This window comes from Homo sapiens, chromosome 17 (assembly GCF_000001405.40).
Source record: "Homo sapiens chromosome 17, GRCh38.p14 Primary Assembly".
Taxonomy (NCBI): Eukaryota; Metazoa; Chordata; class Mammalia; order Primates; family Hominidae; genus Homo; species Homo sapiens.
The window spans coordinates 57,715,076-57,734,249 of record NC_000017.11 but is presented as its reverse complement, the minus strand read 5'-3'; the positions used below and the strand labels follow the sequence as shown (position 1 = coordinate 57,734,249).

Here is a 19,174-nt window from a genome sequence, read left to right as displayed (position 1 = left end):
TCTCTTTCCTGAATTTGCCACTGGGTATTATTTTTATGCCACTGTTCTGTTATCCAACTTCAAAATATACATCATATTTATATTGCCTCTGCTAAGCATATATTTTTATTTTATTGCTTACCATGTGGGTGACATTCGGTTATTGAATGTCTGGAGAATTGGATCTGGTTGTTGTTTTTTATTCTTCCCTTCGTAAGTGCTTGCTCTGATGTATTAATCTTTACAAAAGCAATGAGACAGGGACACATGAGCATTCACACTCACACACACACTAATCACATTGCCATTTTGTCTCACTTTGCGGGTGTGTGGCTACATTTATAAGAGCCGACAGATCTGAAATAGGTGGTCTGAACTGATTCAGGTGGGGAGCAATGAAGCCAGCCACCTCCCGGGGACTCAGTTAGGGAGGGAGGGAGAGAGAGCCTTTTGTCTTCTGTTTGTGAAGGACACACCAGGCGAGAACCAAGGAGGGAACCATTGTAAGTCTGAGCTGGAAGGGACCCTGGGGATATATTTATATGTCTATAAAAATATAGGCATATGTTTTATAGATATTTTATATCGTCTATATCCACATATCTATCTAGCATCTCACATAATTCCTGATCCTGGGATCAATAAATGGTTATTGAATGAAGGAACAAAAGAATAGTTATATAAACCCTTTACTGAAGTCGTATTCTGTGCAAGACACTTCACATGCACTCTCTAAGCCTCTCAGCATCTCCACAAAGTAATCCATTTTGAAAATAAGGGAAACTGAGTTCCTCAAAATGTTGTACATAAAATTGTCATATGACCCAGCAATTCTACTCTTTTGGGGGGTATGGACCTAAAGAAATTGAAAACAGTTACTCAAACAAATTTTGTACATTCATGTTGTCACAGCATCATTTGCAATAACCAAAGCATGAAAACACCTCAAATATCCAGCAATAAATGAATGAATCAGCAAATTGTGCCATGTTCATACAAAGGAATATTATTATGCCATAAAAAGGAATGAAGTGCTCATATGTGCTACAACATGGATAAAATTCAAAAATATGATGTTAAGTCAAAGAAGCCAGACACCGTTCACCTATTCATTTATACGAAATATCCAGAATAGGGAAATTGATAGAGACAGTGAAGAGATTGGTGGTTGTCAGGTGCTGGAGAGGACAGAGGGGGAGATGAGGAGTACCTGCTTAATACTGTGAGGTTTTGTTTTGTGGTAACTAAAATGTTGGTAACTTGGATAAAGGTGGTATTGCCTAACATTGTGAATGTACCAAATATCACTGAATTGTGCACTTTAAACTGGTTAATTTGGTCAGGAACGGTGGTTCATGCCTATAATCCCAGCACTTTGGGAGGCTGAGGTGGTGGATCACCTGAGGTCAGGAGTTCGAGACCAGCCTGGCCAACATGGTGAAACCCTGTCTCTATTAAAAATACAAAAATTAGCCGGGTGTGGTGGTGGGCGCCTGTAATCCCAGCTACTTGGTAGGTGAGGCACGAGAATTGCTTGAACCCAGGAGGTGGAGGTTGCAGTAAGCCGAGATGGCACCACTACATTCCAGCCTGGGTGACAGACTGAGACTCTGTGTCAAAAAAAAAAAAAAAAAAAAAAAAAAAGAAAAGTTAATTTTAAGTTATGTGAATTTCGCCTCAATTAAAAGAAAATAAGGAAACTGAGCTTAAAGGTAGTGGTAGATTGATTACACTGACAACACTTATTACTTGCCTCCCTGTGATCCAGCCATTTGCCCTGTAACTTTATAGGCCTCTTCCATTCTGACTCCAGGTTCAGTCGAATGACTCTTTGGCCAATTGGATGGCAGAAAACTTAATGCAGGCACAGGCTTGAAAAAGCCCAGGTGTGTTTCCACTCACTCTCTTGGAAATAAACACCATTATGAGAACAAGCCCAGGCTATCCTGGGGATGAGAGTCCATGTGGAACAGACCCAAGTTATCCCAGCCAAGGCCATCCTAGACCAGCCAGCCCCCAGCTGATCTGCCAGCTGACTGTAGATGCATGAGTGACCTCAGCAAAGATCAGCCAAGTCTGGCTCACATCAGCAGAACCACCCAGGCTACTCATACACTCATGAGAAATAATAACCGATTATTGTTTTAAGCCATTAAGTTTTGAAGTAGCTTGTTTCGCAGTAATCACTAACTGACCTAGAGTGGTTGAATTACTTGTCTGAGGTCTCACATCTAGTAAGAAAAGGTAGAACAGGTTCCAAAGTCTGGTTCTAAAGGATTGTTCTATGCAGTTGTCACCTTCATTTTACAAGTGAGGAAAATGAGATTCAGAAAAATTGAGGGTGGGTGTAGAAAGATGAAACAAGAACATCGTGTGTGTGTGTGTGTGTGTGTGTGTCCTCCTTCTCTGTCCTAGGTAATGAAGGAATGTCACCTGTAAACCCTCCCAGCCTTCCCCAAACCCCAACTCAATACTATAGAAAGGTATTAAAATGCTGGCACTGACTTCCAATTTGAGTTTCCGGTGGCATCTCTGCAGCTTTCCATCAGTTCTGGTCAAGGCTGCTGTCCTGCACTGCACTGCCATGGGTACTGCCTTGCTAATGGACAGGTAAGAAAGATAACTCATCAATGTACTATTCTTTTCTCCTAAAGCTTTGTCTGGGTATTAGCATGGCTCTTTAGCAGATTTTAATTCTGTGAAGCAGTGAGTTGCTAGGATAATGGTTGCCTTAAACAGCTGTGGAAAGAGTCCCAGGGAGAACATGCAACTCATATAGGCCACATGGTTTAGTGCACCAGGATCCAAGATTCTCAAATGTGGTGCTATTCCCTGACATTCCTCTCCTACAAAGAGGATCCTGAAATCACCAGCCTACCCCCAGCCCCTATAAAAAAATGGTTCCTTCTTGTTGGCAGAAAGGCCAAGTTATTCTACATCTTAAAGTGCTGGAGGAGGTAGGAAGAGCAGAGGAGAATTTCACAAACTGGGAGCCAAGGAGGAGCTTTTTCAGGGGGTTGAGGAGAGTTACACCCAAGCAGCTGCAGGGAAAGAAGGAAGTAGAATGAATGGGATTTTAGTAAGTGCTGTTGGAGTCCATTGGATCTGAGTCTCCTTTAGTAGTGCTAAGATAGAGAGTAAGGAATGGCATTGCATTGTGCTTCTAGGTCATAATAACTCTCGATGAGCCACATGAGTCCAGATTTTATCAGGGTTACATCAGGCATGGGGCTGAGCCCATTGTGAACTGGAGAAGATAAATAGGAATTCTATTTTCAATCCAACGTTTTGTCTTCAATGTTCTGCCTATCAACTGACCATCTGGGTTTGGGAAGAGACTTAAGGATATGGGCTTTCCCCATTCACTGCCTGCTTATAGGCAGTGGGGTCTTGACCATTTATAGGACTCTGTCCTCTCCTTGTTGGCATTCCTGAAGCTGAGCTCCCAGGTTACAGGGCTCTCAGCAGCTGAGAAAATGAAGAAAGTCTGGTTTTACCTTGATGGGGAGTGCTGAGCCCAAGCTCTCCCTTCCTGGGATGGCTGCTGTGTCACTTTCAGGATGGGACACCTTGGGTCTTAGTCTGTGAGTCTTACTGCATGAGTGAAGGTGCATACAGGACCCAGGCTGAGCAGAGAAGCCAGAAGTGAGATGAGAGGGGCTAAATCTCTTTCCTTCCTCATGTCACAGATCACTCACCTCATACCCAACACCACACACAAATGACCCCATACCTCACACCCTTTCACACACTGTGATCACACACATCATATCCCAGGCCACATTCATACCACGTATCACATATATGCCACACATGCTATAGAAACATACCACACACCACATAACAAATATACATCACATCATCTGCAAATCATACATACAGCAAACCACACTCAATGCACTGCACAAAAATTACCCCCAGACATGTGCCACCCATGAGACACACCCATCACACCATTCACACATACATCACACCCATGCACACACTTTGTATGCCTGCCACCCCATGTCCCATACCCATACCCACACCCACACATCTCTCCTCTGCATGCCTCATAGCACACACGTCTGCTGTGCCCCATGTCACACCCCCCCCCCCGCCAGGTTCCTTCTCACTCTAACCAGGGCAGAAACCTAAAAATGTCTTACTGATCATCCTCATGGCACAAAGCCCCATAGGCAAGGGGGAAACAGTGTGGATGGAGTGGCTACATGCAAGCAGTTGCATTCTTTAGGCATCAAATAGACATCTGGGTACAATGGAGCATTTTTCAAGCCGGTGGAATTTTTTGGAAATTTTAGTTTATTTAAGTCAGATGATCCTTTTCTCCTCCCTAAAAAGTAAGACCATAGGTGTTACCTTGAAGGGCTCACCATATGGTTGGCATGACTGACAAGTAAGCAGGTTATAACAAAGCCCTTCCAGAGCCCTGGGGGCCCAGGGCTCACCTGCCCTGAGCATGTACCTGGGGATACCTTGTGGAGACACAAGGGACACAGAGCGCCCAGTGTCTGCTCTGGAACTTGCAGGCTAACTCAGTGGCTGGCATGGAAAGAATGAGAATGAAGGCAGATCAACCTGCCAAGGAAGTGCAAGTCATGGAGGTTGCAGACAAGGGAGGCCCAAGATAGCAATGGAGAGGTGGTCTCCACGACAGCTAAGGACTAGGCGTCAGTGCCACAGGCACCTGGGTGTGAGTCCTGCTCCTGCTGCTCAGTAGTGCCAGGGCCTTGGGCTTATATGATTTAATACTTAACCTCCCTGGAACTCAGTTTCTTTTTCTGAAATGAGGGACAATGATAGTACCTATAGTAAAGGGTTGTTCTGAGGACAAAATCCAAATGAGAACATTCATATGCCTGGTACATATTAAGCACTCCATGAATACTGCTGCTCTTATTATTATGACTATTAGTATCATTGTTTTCTTTGGAGTCTGGTTCCCCAGATGATGGGAGGAGATGAGATCCAGAGCTTAGCAGAGGGGTCAGCCTTGGAGAAGAAGAGAAGGAACAGGTGGAAGGAGAGAGCCAGTGGGAGAGATAGAAGTTGTGAGATTAGAGGAAGAAGGCATAACAAGAAAGATGGGATCTGAGTTGGTTGGTATGGACTGGTGGTTATTAGCTTGAGTTGCCTGCTGGAATCACCTAGGGAGCTTTTAAAAATGCCCATGCTTGGGACTCACCCTGAGAATCCATTTAACTGGTTTGGGGAGAGCCCAGGGGTTGCTACTCAGGAGAGCAACCCTCATGATCGCAATGTGCAGCCAGGGTGGGAAGCCCCAGGAACAGACAAATGCCGGCTCTCAGGTTGTCATCTCCATCAAACCCCTGGTGGGCCTTCTCCATGCTTTTGGGGGGTCTAACTTTTGGCAGTGCCCTGTCCACATATCTCTCCCCTGGATCTAAAGGGCCCCATGGAGCAGATGCCAGCTACAGGCTCTTCCCTTCCTTGGGAGTTCTGTGTCCTTAAGTGAAGAGGAGACTTTGTGGATGGACTGACTGAGGGGCCGTGGGTGGGAGACAGATGAGCTGCATAGACTCGGCCTACAGGGCCTAGGGGTGACATTGGATGGGGCCACATGACAGGTGGAGCCTTGGGGTCCCTCTGGCAGCACATGGCCAGGAAAGGAACAGCACCCATGGAAGGGGAAAGGATCACAGAAGATGGGCCCCATAGGGACCAGACTCTGATCATCATGCTGCCCTTTGCCCTGGAAGCTCATCTGAGCTCTGCAGCCCTGGCCCCAGCTGCCTCCCTAGCCTCCCCTTCTGAGCTTGACAACACCACCATCCTCTAATCCTCCAAGCACAACATGCTGTTTCCCAGCTCTGTGTCTAGGCCCAGTGCTGCTTTTGCCCTCTGCCTTAGGTCACACCACTCAGACCAGCTAACTCCTCCCTGTCCTCTCAGACTCAGCTCTTGCAGGAAGCCTCCTGCCCTGACCCTCCTTTCTGGCTAAAAGCCCTGTATTTCCATAACACCTTTGCTTACCAGCATCTCGGCCTTTTAAACACCATGTTGCAGTCACCTGTTTGCAGTCACCTGCATCATCAGACTATAAGCCCTTTGGAAGAAGTTTCTGAATTATAGTCACATCCAACTATCCCCAGACCTGGCGCATGGGAGATATTCAGCAGTCTCTAGGAAGAGGTGTGTAAGAGCTGGAAGATGGGTTCCTGTTTCCCCAGAGTGCGTTCCCTCTATCCACCTTATGTGTGCACAATCTCCTGGAGTTAGAGCTCCACGGGCGGCTCTGCTGGACCTCAGGGACAGCTGAGGGCACCACGTGTCCGAGGCTGCAGGGAGCTGTGAGGCCTCTGCTGGCCAGTCCCAGAGGAGGTGTCTTCCTGCCTTCTGCTCACAGTGGAGGAACACTCCCAGCTCTGTTTAGGCCTTTCCAACCCTGTGCCTCTTGGGATGTCTTGGAAAGCAATGTGGCATCTCAATGAGTTTATTCTTCCAGTATGTGCTGAATATGGAAATCCGAGCCAGTATGTGGTGGGTCAATAAGCCTGCTCTTCCATCTCAGTGTCCCCTGAGTCTCCTGGCACGGACTGCCCTCCTCCTGCCCTTCCCTCCTCCCTCCTTCCTTCCCTGCAGCACCTCTCAGCCCTGGAGCAGCAATGGCCAGGGTGTAGACGTGTGAGAACCTGAAACAGGGGCTTGCTGGAAGGAGGCCAAGAGGACGGACTGTCAGAGGCCTGGGTCTCCCTGCTGAAGGCCAAGGTGAATTCAGCTGCTTACCCTGGCAAGGGGTGCTATTCTTTTCCTCACAGTCCTGATGGCCAAGGACAGTGGTTGATCCCATTCTCTCTTGCCACCTCATCTGGGAGTCAAGAGGTGGGTCAGGTCTTGGCTCTGCCAAGTGTCATTGTGTGCCCTTGGGCAAGTCCCTCCTCTGTTGAACGACGAGGTGGGTCCAATGGTCTGAGATATTGTGACTTTCCCAGGACCTGCGGATAAATGTAGCCCTGCTGCCTGCAGGTGGCTCAAGCATCGTGGCTGCCTTGCTCAGGGTCTGAGCTTTACCTCACAGTGAATCACACAGAAGTGGGGGGAGCTGAGTGGCACACTCCGTTGCCACATTGGGACAGTCTGGATGTGGGGACAGTGAACCCCTAAGGCTACCCTCCCTCATCCTACCCTCCATTTCCTGGGGCTTGCCCCCTTGCCACTTGGTGTGGGAGGTTCTGCTTAGTAACAGACTAAGCTGCCCCCTTTCTTTGCCTCTGACCCTGAAGGCAGAGCAGCCCCCTTCTGAAGCCTCTGGCGAGTGGCCTCAGAGCAGATGCTCCTCTGTGTCCCCGCCTCCTCCAAGGCCAAGAGGGCACATCGCTGCCCCAAACCCCAGGCTCAGGAGACCCTGCTTCCCTACCATGTTGACCCCGCCAGCTCCCCCCAGCATCTGTGGCACTCCTCAGGGCACTCTTGCTTTGGGACAAAGAGCTGGCACTTCCTTTGGTCCGGCCAAGCCGAAGGTGGCAGAGACAGGTGGCAGTCCTCCTCCTGCCTCAAACAAATGCAATCAAGCCATCAAGCTGCCTTTTTCTTTTCTAATCAATTCCCATGACAAATGGGTCTGTGAAGGAGGGCAGCCTGCCCCAGGCATTCTGTACTTCAATCAGGACAACAGAAGGAGCTGGATTCATAAAACTATAATGCACCACTTGAGCATATTTCCCAGGAACCGGACCTTGCCATAAGGGGGCTGCCAGCACCCTCCCTCCCATGAGGGGAGGCAGCTTAACCCTTCACCCGAGCACAGATGGAGTGCTCCACAGCCTCCTCATGGGACCAGGGGTGGGTCTGTGTGCTTGGCTGATCAGAGGGCATTTGCAGGGAGAGGGACAAAACCGTTAAGAGTGAGCGGCAGCACGTGATCAGCATAGGGACATGTGGGCTTTGGAGTCGTGCAAACCTTCACCCTCACAGCTGCATGGCCTAACTTCTCTGGTCCCCAGTTTTTCTTGTCTGTAAAGTGACGTCTGTAACACCTTTCCTTCTGGGAGGTGAGGAATAGCAAGACGAAGAACGCAGACCTTGAGTCAATGCCAGCACAAAGAGGGCACTGAATGAATGAACCGAGTCCACTGGACTCAATACATCACACAAGGCCTTTCCACAGACACATGCCACGAAGGCGCTCAGAAGCCGCCACTCCATCCTAACCACAAGTACAAAACTGGACAAACTGAAAAGCAAGTCTTCTTAGATCCACCACAGAATTGAGGTCACCGGGCAAACCACTGCACCCCAAATTGTAAAGACAGGTGGATACAGAGAATCACAACTTACTGGAGCAGAAACTTCTGTGGCAACCAGTTCTGGGGTAAAAACATGCCCTGTAATTGACAAATTCCTGGAGGCTCTGCATGGGCAAACCTGAGAGAGAAGAGCCTCAGGGGGGACCCAGTCACCAGGTCCCCATGGCCCACCTGGTCATCACAGTGAATCGCACAGAAAAATCTAGTGGTGGGGAGGGGAAAATAAAACATTTTGAAATACTCAGAGCATTCTATTCTTACCAAGTCCTGCCCTCAGGAGCCTAACTTGCTGGAGGTTTTTTGTTCTTGTTGTTGTCGCTGAGATGGAGTTTCGCTCTTGTTTCCCAGGCTGGAGTGCAATGGCGTGATCTCAGCTCACTGCAACCTCTGCCTCCTCGGTTCAAGCGATTCTTCTGCCTCAGCCTCCCAAGTAGCTGGGATTACAGGCATGCACCACCACGCATGGCTAATTTTGTATTTTTAGTAGAGATGGGGTTTCTCCATGTTGGTCAGGCTGGTCTTGAACTCCCAACTTCTGGTGATCTGCCCGCCTTGGCCTCCCAAAGTGCTGGGATTACAGGCGTGAGCCACTGTGCCTGGCGTTTTTTTTTTGTTTTGTTTTTTTGACGGTCTCACTCTGTTGCCCATGCTGGAGTGCAGTGGTGTGATCGCAGCTTGCCCTTCCCCATTGGCACTGTACTTGATTTTTCTTGCCCTGGAGTGTCTTAAGGCTGAAATTCCTCTCTTTTCCCAAACCAGGTGGAAACCTTGGCGACTTAGGTAATCCAAAGCAGCTTATTCCTAGGTGGCCCAGGGAGACTGCCAGCAGAGAGGCTAGTGGTCTCTGGGCCCTGCTGCTGGGAAGGGGTCTGTGTGGCATGCCTCGTGCTCCTCTGGGTCACACTGGCCCCAAGTTTCTGATGTCCTGTTTTAAGCCTAACCCCAGTCCATTCTAAATGTCCCACTTAAGACCCAGGGACTGAGAGATGTGAAGCTGCCCAGTGAGAGCACAGATCTCATGGCTGAGCTGCCGGGAGCCAGGCCTGAGCCACAGCTCCCCTCCCTGCCAACAGCACCGCAACAGGCCAACCTTGAGGACCAGATGCAAGGACACCACCCCTCTACCCCTGACACTCACAGCCGAGCTCAAGGACAGTCTGTCTCTGTCATGTGGGGGATGCCCTTTGTTGAATGCTTCCAGAAACAATCTGTGCCCCTTGGCAGAAGGGAATGGCTAGAACTCCAGGTTTGCCACCTACTTATCCGGGTCCAAGTATAAGGACAAGTATGGGCTTAGGAGCACAGGCTCCGGTGTTGGGCAACCTGGGTTCAAGACCTGGTTCTAGCCGTGTGACCTTGAACAAGCTCTCTAGTCTTGGATTTTCTTCATGAAAAGTGAGGATACTAATTACAAACCAATTCATGAGGGCTGCCGAGAGGATTAAGTGAGGTGGTTTACACAGAGCCTTAGCTCCTGGCAGACAGAGAGGATCACAAACTGTTCCTATTATCATGGCTGCGGCCTACCCTTCTGGGATGCTGAAGTGTCAGAAAAGAACCTACAATGCTATGCTCACAGCAATGCAATGCTCACAGCTCTCCCTGCTCCACCAACTGTCTGCTGGGTGACCTTGCGTCAGTCACTTTGCCTGGCTGGGATCGGGTGAGGAATGGCCTCTGGCAGCAGCTGTCCCACCCCAGCAAGGAGTGACTCATTGGTGGGGCCTGGACCGGGAGGCAGGGGCTGGGTCGGGGAGCAGGCTGAGCGCTCAGGAGGCACTGCTCTGCCACAATTCAGGATATTACTGTTTGTGAGTTTGAAATTTCCTGACAGACAGAATGAGCCATCTGAAGCGAGAGTTTCATTTCCTTTGCCGTCCTGCTCAGCCATCTCCCGGGGATGGTGCATGAGTGACAAGCTATAATTAAAGCCTCAGCGTAAGTCCTAGTCAGAGAAGGACGGTCTTGTAGTCAAGTGCACTGCTGAGGACAGACCTTTCCATCTGCGAGTCTTTAGGGACCCTCTCCCCGGTTGCTCTGTCTGTCTGTTGGAGCAGGCCGCCTCTCTGTCCTTGTGACCTTTACTAGCCTGGTGGGGGTTCCCTGCACTCTCAGGCTTCAGCCTGTCTGCCCTTTCCCTGAGAAACCCTGTGGATCCATTCTGGGGCTCTGCAGAGATCTTTGCGCTGAGGTTCCAGGAAGCCAACTGCCTGTGGAAGAGGTGCTGGGGCAGAGGGCACCCGGGGAACTCAGGCCTTCTGCGGTGGGGATGGTGAGGCCGGGATCTGGTGACAGGATTGCTCTCTCTGGTTCCAGTCTGCCTGCAGCTCTGCGGCACGCCTGTGGCGAGGCAGGAGCCACTAGACCGAGGACTCCTGCCTCCACTGTGACCTCTCTGGCTATTCCTTGGCAAGGAAGCAATATTCCTGGTTTACACCGAGGGCAATGAGGCATAGTGAGGGGAGGTGCGAAGGTGTCCCTGACCACCCTGCCTTCTGCTAACCACAAGCACATGCCTTTCCTGCACACTGGTTTCTTTGCTGCACATACCAATGTGGCTCTGCTTTCCTGACATCTGTGGGCTCCTTGTGAAACTATAGGTTTCCAAAGGCAGAAACTGTCCTTTCCATGTCTTTAGAGTCCCTTCCTGAACAGGCATGTTGGTGGGGCATGAGCCCTGGACATGGGCTTGAGTCTGTGCTGGGAGGTCTCCAGTGGCCTCGGTTTCCTCACCTCTGAAGTGGAAATAATATTCAAACCTGTTCTATTTCCTTCCCTGTGCTGCTGAAAGCTCTTTGTAACCGAGAAAGGCCCATAGCAATGGCTGAATCCTTACATTTCTTTGTGTGTTGCAAGGTGCCATTGGAGAACGGTTGGGTCTATGTTATTCTCTGGATCTGGATCTGAACTGAATCTAGTACCACATGCCAATACATGCTGAATAAACGCTTCTTGATATTGCTGATGATGGTCTTTCATTCATTCTGACTGGATATTAAGCTGCTTCCTGGAATACAATTCACCCAGGGCTAATTTCTTGGGGTCCTTTTGGTCTGGTCTCCAGCTGAGCCCTGACATCACAGACTCCTTCATTGTTGGTCTTCTGGAGATATTTTAAGATGACTGTGTCAGCTGGGGTCAGCTTCCACTCGGCTATCACTCGTGCTGTCAGGAGTAGAGGTTTCAGCTGTCCGGCGGGAGCCCATCAGTCACTCCCGACAGCCCTTTATCAGACAAAGGAGCCCTCACCATGGCGTTTCAGAGAGGGAGAGACTGTATTATTGTTCACGCTCAACAAATAATTTTCAACAGGAGTTTTAAGCCTGTAAATAAAATCCCTTGCATCTTTTAAGCATTTAGATCCCTAAGATGGCAGACATCCTTCTTCTCAGGTTTGAGGTTTCCCACCTTTTTTCTGGCATAACTCTCTCCTTTCCCAAAGATATTTTCATTCATTCATTCATTCATTCATTCATTCATTCATTCAACAAACACTTGTTGGGCCACTTTGATATGCCTGGCCTCTGCCAGGTGCTGGGGACGCAGCACCCTGGGAAACCCATGCTCTTATAGAAGTGAAAGGCTTATGGACAAATAATTCCAATGTCACATGAGAAGCACTTGAGCTAAAGTGGGTACAAAGTGTGGGGGAAGCCCAGAAGGAGTGACCAACTCTCTCCCAGGGAAAGCTGGGGGCAAAGGCTTCACAAGGAGGAGACTCCGCTGGGCTCTAAGGCCTTCAGCAGGTGGACAAGGTGGAATGAAGGCATTCCAGGATGAGACACCAGCAAGTGCAAAGTCACAGAAGTGGGAAAGAACATTCAGGAATTTTGAGTGGTTTAGTGGGTGGGGAGTGGGAGAATTTGAGGCTGGCAGGGTAGGCGTGGGCTAGATCACAAAGCACTGAGAACTTGGGAGAGAATAAGCTCCACAAAGATAAGCATCTTGACTGCCTTGCTCACCACTGTCTGCCCTACACCTAGGACAGTGTCTGGACATGGTAGACATTCAATAAATATTCATTCAGTAAGTGAAGGAATCATGAGTGCCTGGCAAAGAAGCTGGTGCTGAATCAATCCCTCCATCACCCACCTTGATCTCATTGTTCTCCAGCATAAACATTCTTCAAATTCCCATCAGCCATTCAATAAAATTCATATTCTCTGCTGCTATTCAAAGCTTTATTTAATCTATAGCATCTACCACCACCTTCTCCAACTGTATGTTCTAAGTCAGGAATTGGCAAATTACAGACAGTGCCCAAATCTGGCCCACCACTTGCTTCTGTAAATACAGTAGTCCCTCCTTATCCACAGTTTCAATACCTGCAGTTCTAGTTACCTCTGGTACAGTACAATAAGGTATTTTTGAGAGAGAGAGGCCACATTTACATAAGTTTTATGACAGTAGAGTGTGATAATTATTCTACTTTGTTATTAGTTGTTAACTGCTTACTGTGCCTAATTTATAAATTAAACTTTATCATAGGTATCTATGTATAGGAAAAAACATAGCATGCATAGGGTTTGGTACCATCCATGGCTTCGGCATCCACTGGGGGTCTTGGAACTTATCCCCTGTGGATAAAGGGGAACAACTGTAATTTTTATTGGAATACAGCCACGCCCACTTTTAAAAACGTATTATCTATTGCTGCTTTTGTTCTATAAGGCAGAGCTGAGTAATTGCAACAGAGACCATATGGCCCACAAAGCTGAAAATATTTACTAACTGGTCCTTAATAGAAAAAGTTTCCCAATCTTTGTGCTAAGTCTTTGGACAGAGCACTTAAACATATTAGATGCTCAATATATACAGTATTAATAGTTGTTGAATGAATGAATAAACAAGTGTGTGAATGACTTAGTTAAATGAGTGAATGGAGCCCAAGTCTCACCTCCACACTTTCCCCTTGTTTTCTGGCTCACAGCTTTCCCTACATGCTGTCATCATCTCTCAGGCCTGGGCAAAGCACTGCCTGGTGACCTTTCAACAAGACAGAGCAGAGGACAGGGCTGGACACCCTCCATCCCCACCCCCAGCCCACACACAGGGCCAAGGGAGGTAGATCCTAGGGACCTTGGGCCCTGGGAACAGAGGTAGGTCTGAGCCTGCAGGGCTGAAGCAACCCATGGGCCCAGCTGTATATGGATGTGTGTGGGACTCCAAATGTGGCCTTGCCAGGGCTGGCAGAGGCGACTCACTCAGCCTTGGGTATTAGTCAGGATACATACAGGTAGAGTCTGACAGAAAACCCAAGCAGAAGGGGTTTGAACAGTCAGGAAAATGGATCATCTCCCAAGGAGAAGCCCTGGGTGGCCTTGGTTAGGTCAGTGCCTCTCCACCCCATATCCTCCACATCTGGCTTTTCATCTAATGCCAGATTCTTGAGGTGCCCAGATGGCTCCTGCAGTTCCAGATCCTACATGATGACAACACTTAGAGGCGGAAGAGGAGCAGGGCCAGATGCTTCTTGGGCTTATTTTTAAGAAAGTAGAAAACTTTACTGGAAACTCCACCAACATATTTATCTCCATGTCTCATTGGCAAGAGGTAAATGATGACCCATTTTGAAAACCATTACTGATGAGGAGAAAGGAATCATTGTGATTAACATAGATTAACCAAGATTTACTCCCAAAGCAGAGGAGGGATAGAGTGTTAGCTCTGGAGACAGGAAGACGTGAGTTCCAATTCTGACTCCATCACTTTGTAGCTTAATATGAATCACTTAATAGCTTGACATGAATCATTTAATCAGCTAATGATATAATCGAGTCTCAGTTTCTTATCTGTAAAATGGGCTCAGTGATAATGTCTGGCCCATAGACATGGTGTGCAATAATTTACAGCAAATAAGCCTGGCAACATAACAAGATGGCATCTCTACAAATAAGAAATAAAAAAGTTAGATGGAAGCCAGGTGCAGTGGCTCACACTTGCAGTCTCGGCACTTTGGAAGGTTGAGGTGGGAGTTCAAAACCAGCCTGGGCAAACTGGGCAGAGTGCTGGGAGTTCAGTCCCAGCACTTTGGAAGGCTTGAGCCCAGGAGTTCAAGACCAGCCTGGGCAACGCAGCGAGACTGACCTCATTTCTACAAAAAATGAAAAAATTAGCCAGGTGTGGTGGGGTGCACCTGTAGTCCTGGCTACTTAGGAGGCTAAGGTAGGTGGGTCTCTTGAGCCCAAGAGGTTGAGGCTGCAGTGAGCTATGATTGCACCACTGCACTCCAGCCTGGGAGACAGAGAGATACTCTGTCTCAGATAAATAAAAAAGCATCTAGTACAGTTTCTGATACACTTAGCAAATATTCTTTTCTTTTCTTTCTGCCTTCCCTTGATCTGCACACTAACCATGCCCCACTGGCTCCTACCTAGCTGTCTTTTCTGCTTTTAAGCCTCCTTTTTCATGTCCGATGTTTATTAAAATTTTTTTTAAACCTAAATGCAGGAATTTACATTTATCCCTTTTACATGTTTTCAGCCTATTATTTCAACCTGTCAAGATGTTTTTGAATCTTGATTCTGCCATCCTTTCTATTAACAATCCCTCTGGCTTTGTGTCAACGGCAAATCTGATAAGCACATCTTCCATTTGACTTCATCCAAGTTGCTGAGAAAAGGGTTGAGGTGGACAAGGTCAAGGGCTGAGCCTTGGGGTATTGTCGGAGATGCCCGCTGAGCTGACATAGCGGCCCCACCTGCTTGCCCGGCACCTGAACCTTAGGTAGGCAACACTTCACCTTCTAATTCAGGACCCGAGCGGCTTTGACACTCGAATGGCCACACTGTGCCCTTTGTCAAAGGCACCTACTCGTCCCTCCTCTCTTAGTTGTCCCTCCAGGACAGGAATCCAGTGGGGCACAGCTCAGCCTTGGTGAACTCATGCTGGCCTCTAGGGATTGCCCCTTTCCCTTCTGTAAGTCCTCATGCTTAGAAATTTACCAGAGATTGTTATCAAACTTACCAGCCTGTTGTTACTGGGATTTAATGTTTTGTTTTCTTTTAAAACTCAGAGTACGGGCTGTCAATAGTTCGGCATCTCTTCACTTGCTATCATCCCTCAAAGATGCCTGCCTGCCAGGCGTTCTGTACTTGTCCCGAGCTTCTTGCCCTGGGATCTTGTGTCTGGAGAACTGAACTCAGAAGACCAGAGTTTCTCGGACTTTACATATGTTGAGTCCAATTCCCTTCCCTTCCCTCCCCTTCTTTCTTCCTTCCTCCCCTTTCTTCCTTTCTCTCTCTCTCCCTCCTTTCCTTTCTCCTTCTTTCTCTCCTGAAATAAAACTTTTGAGATTTTTTCCCCAATATAATACAATAAAGATGTATTCTTTGTAGAAAATTTAGGAAATATCCACCTCTGAGACATTACCTGACTTATAATTTAGTGTACCCTCCACCTATTTTCTAGGTGTAGTCTGTGTTAGACTGCTTAAACATATGATAATATAATTTAAATATATCTTATAAAGATTTTCAAAATATCATATGCCACAGTTTTTCTCACATAAAGGTAATAAAATAAAAAGTAGTACATGCTCATAATAGAGTGTGAACTGTCTAAGCAAATTTACCTCCTGTTATTTAATAATTTATGCATGTTTGTATTTATTTGAGATGGAGTCTCGCTCTGTCACCTAGGCTGGAGTGCAGTGACGCCATCTTGGCTCGTTGCAACCTCCACCTCCCAGTTTCAAGCGATTCTCCTGCTTTAGCCTCCTGAGTAGCTGGGATTACAGGTGTGCACCACCATGCCTGGCTAATTTTTTATTTTTTTTTTTAGTAGAGCTGGGGGTTTGCCATGTTGGCCAGGCTGGTCTCAAACTCCTGACCTCAGGTGATCCGCCTACCTCGGCCTCCCAAAGTTGCTGGGATTCCAGGCGTGAGCCATCGCGCCGGCCTGTTTATTTATTTTTTACTTAACATGTCAGCATGTAGTTTCCAGGCTCTTACAAAGTCTGGAGGCATTTTGATTGCTTTGTAAGAGTCCATAGACTGGACGCTCTGTAGATTGCTTAAATTGTCTCTTGTTTGGGGCCTTCCTTTTATTTGTTTCCAATTTTTCATTAAACAACACTGCAATAATTTGTGCATGCCTTTTTTCCTACTGAAGATTCCTTCCTTTAGACAGAATTCCAGGAATGGATCTATTCTCTCTTAACTGTGTTTGATTGACCCTTTTGTGTTTGAAGACCGTCCTCTGTGATACAGACATTTGGAACTCAGTGAAGAGGTGAGGTGTTTCTGCTTCCTCCTTACCACCCAGTCCCATGTCACCATCCGCTCCAGTTGGCAGATTCTTCTTGCTCCCACGACAGCTCAGAAGCCCTTCAGGTTGTGGACAACATGGTTTTTGTGTGTTTTTTCAAGCTCTCCTGACTTGAGTCTGGGTTCACCCTCCTCTGACGATTTTTCTCTTCCACAAAGACTTGTTTAACTAGTTCTTGTGAAGGCAGACTCTATTCTTTTCCACTTCATTCCCAAAACTCCTTTGTCGAAGAAAATAAGGATCTCACCAAGGGTTTCCACAGAAAGCTTGGGAGATGAAAAATAATTGAAGGCCTCTCTAGCTCCTGCCTCCTTTCTTAATGACTTTATCACCATAGGGTAAGTTTAGGCCATTCTGCCATTCCTTTGACACTGACACCTCTGATACCTTAGCTAGGATCCAGCCGTTGCCATCTCCACCAAGAAAGGGCTAAAATTATTTGCTCCTTAGCTTCCGGGTAGAATCAGAGGACTGTGAAGGGTGGTGGGGAGAACCCTCCTGGCTGAGCTGACCTAGACCACCTTGATGATGGTGAAGATGTGAACTTAGCTCGTCTGTGTGGGCAGTTATGGAGCAAGAGTTTTGTCCATGGGCTGGGGCAACCTGTCCCCAATGAATGGGGCTCCCCGATGCTAAGCACCACCAGGATGATATCTGTGCTATCCACCAGGTTTTATGTTCTTCCTGCCAGACTCTTCTTCCTCCAACAGCACCTACCATTGGGTTTGTCCTAAATTTTAGCACCAGGCACCTCACAGGCCAGGTCTAGTTCTACCATACCACATAGTCTATGTTGTGCTTCTATGAGCTGTGCCAGGCATAAAGACTCCAAGATAAGGCACCTCTTAGACTATCACTTTTAAGGAGTAATGAGGAAATTGAATGGGAAGAAGGGGTTTGAGGGCCCTTGAGTAAATGATTTGGAAAACTAGGGAGCCATCCAGGTCCTGGAATATAGGTCAACATGTTGGTTGGCAAGGAGGGGACTCTCATCATGTGCCCCTGTCTAAGGCTGCTTGGCATGGTGGGAGGAGACTCCCAAGAGGGGGTTAGAACGCCTGGTTCCACTGTTGGCCCTGAGCTTAGTAGCTGTGTAATTTTAGGCAAGTCACTTATTCTCTCTGACCTTCAAAAAAAGAGAGAACTTGACCCGGATAGGTGGTTCTCAGTGTTTAGAGTTTCAAGACTCCGGTGATGAGTTACTCTATTTTTATTATCCATTGCTTGAGAAGAAATGTCTGTGACTTTGGGAATGCTGCAGGTGTAAGCTTTGCTGGAAGGCATCCCTCATGCTGGTGTCCTAGAGGTGTCTGAAGCAAGGTTCAGGGTCTGCAAGAACTCCAGGAAGCCGCTCTTCTCCTGCTTCCCCTTCTATTCTCCTCCAAAGACTATAAGTAAAAGGGGACAAGGGGCTGGGGGGATGGGAGATGGGGGATGAAGGGATAGGGGAGGATGGGGTAGGGAGATGAGAGGATAAAAGAATGGGGGATGAGGGGAAGGGGATAAGGAGCTGGAGGATGGGATTGGGGGATGAGGAGCATGGCTATGTAAGAGGTAGGATGGTGTTGCCTGTCCTCTTTATCTTCTTCTTTTTCTCCTGTCCTCACTTCATGGAATAGGCTATTTTTGGTATAATCCTTCAAAGCAATGCTATGCAAGGTGGCGAGAATGGTTGTTGTCTTGTAGCTGCTCCCCTTTAAGAAGAGAGGGTCTACCAGCACCCATACCTACCACTCCCACCCCAGATGGGAATCAGGACAATATCTCCCCAGCCTCAAACTCCAGAAGCAAATCTCAAAGACCAGATGGAGCTGGTTTCCTAGGGGCAGGAAGAAAGGAGAAAGGAAAAGGAGAAGTAGAAGAAACTCTCAGGCCCCCACCCGAGGCTGCCCATCACCCAGCCTGATGGCTCCTCTGTATGCCAAGGCTCAGAAGACACTGCAGAGTCCCTCCTGCAGACTCTCCGCATGCCGACAGATCAGGGACCAACAAGGCTGCTGCAGCCAGGAAGCACACAGACAGCCCAGACAGGCCTCCAGACAGGGCAGAGGGGCAGCAATTCCTTGGAAAATGGAGAAGCAGGGAAGGCAAACAAGTCTTGGTGGAGTTGTAGTGTAAGGAAAAGACAGGTAGAGGGGCAGATAAAAGGGAAGTAAGGGACACAGACAGGGGTCCTTAGTAGAACCTGGGTGGAAAACTCCCGACCGTGAGGACTGCCAACCCCTGGGCAGGGGTGGATGGGCAGCCATGCCTCCCGCCTGGATTCTAACTTGGGCTCCCAGAGTTGCCCTCTTCTCAATGTCAGGCACATCCTTCCATTCTCTGAGCCTCAGTTTCCTCACCTGTGCAATGGGGAGGGGCAGAGATGAGGAGGTAGAGTCACCAGTCTGCAAAGCTCCCTTCGGCTCCATCTCAGGTTCTCCCATGCCTGGTGGCCCCTCTCTGTGTGGCCCCTGGGGGAGGCCCCCAGCCCCAGCAGGCTTGCAGCAGTGGCCTAGGGACTAGCGCCCCATTTCCTAGATGTAACTACCCATTACATGGAGCCGATCTCTCCCAAGCTGGGGCTCTGGCAGCTTTATTATAAGTTTATTACATGCTAATTCAAGCAAATAAATTTGCCCCAGCTGTGAAGCAGAGGAGATTAATAACCTCAAAGATTA

General features: G+C 48.1%; 2 annotated features.

Annotated features, from left to right (window-relative positions):
* Nucleotides 5,435-5,690: a silencer, noted in NCBI's record as "fragment chr17:55805921-55806176 (GRCh37/hg19 assembly coordinates)". NCBI's record gives its function as "represses an EF-1alpha promoter that drives an FKBP-Casp9 reporter gene in an ReSE screen in phorbol 12-myristate 13-acetate-treated (for megakaryocytic differentiation) K562 erythroleukemia cells {active_cell/tissue: K562(+PMA)}" and the evidence as "EXISTENCE:reporter gene assay evidence [ECO:0000049][PMID:32094911]".
* Nucleotides 6,837-7,336: an enhancer, noted in NCBI's record as "H3K4me1 hESC enhancer chr17:55804275-55804774 (GRCh37/hg19 assembly coordinates)". NCBI's record gives its function as "activates a minimal SCP1, AML or CMV promoter by ChIP-STARR-seq in primed H9 embryonic stem cells {active_cell/tissue: H9 hESC(primed)}" and the evidence as "EXISTENCE:reporter gene assay evidence [ECO:0000049][PMID:30033119]".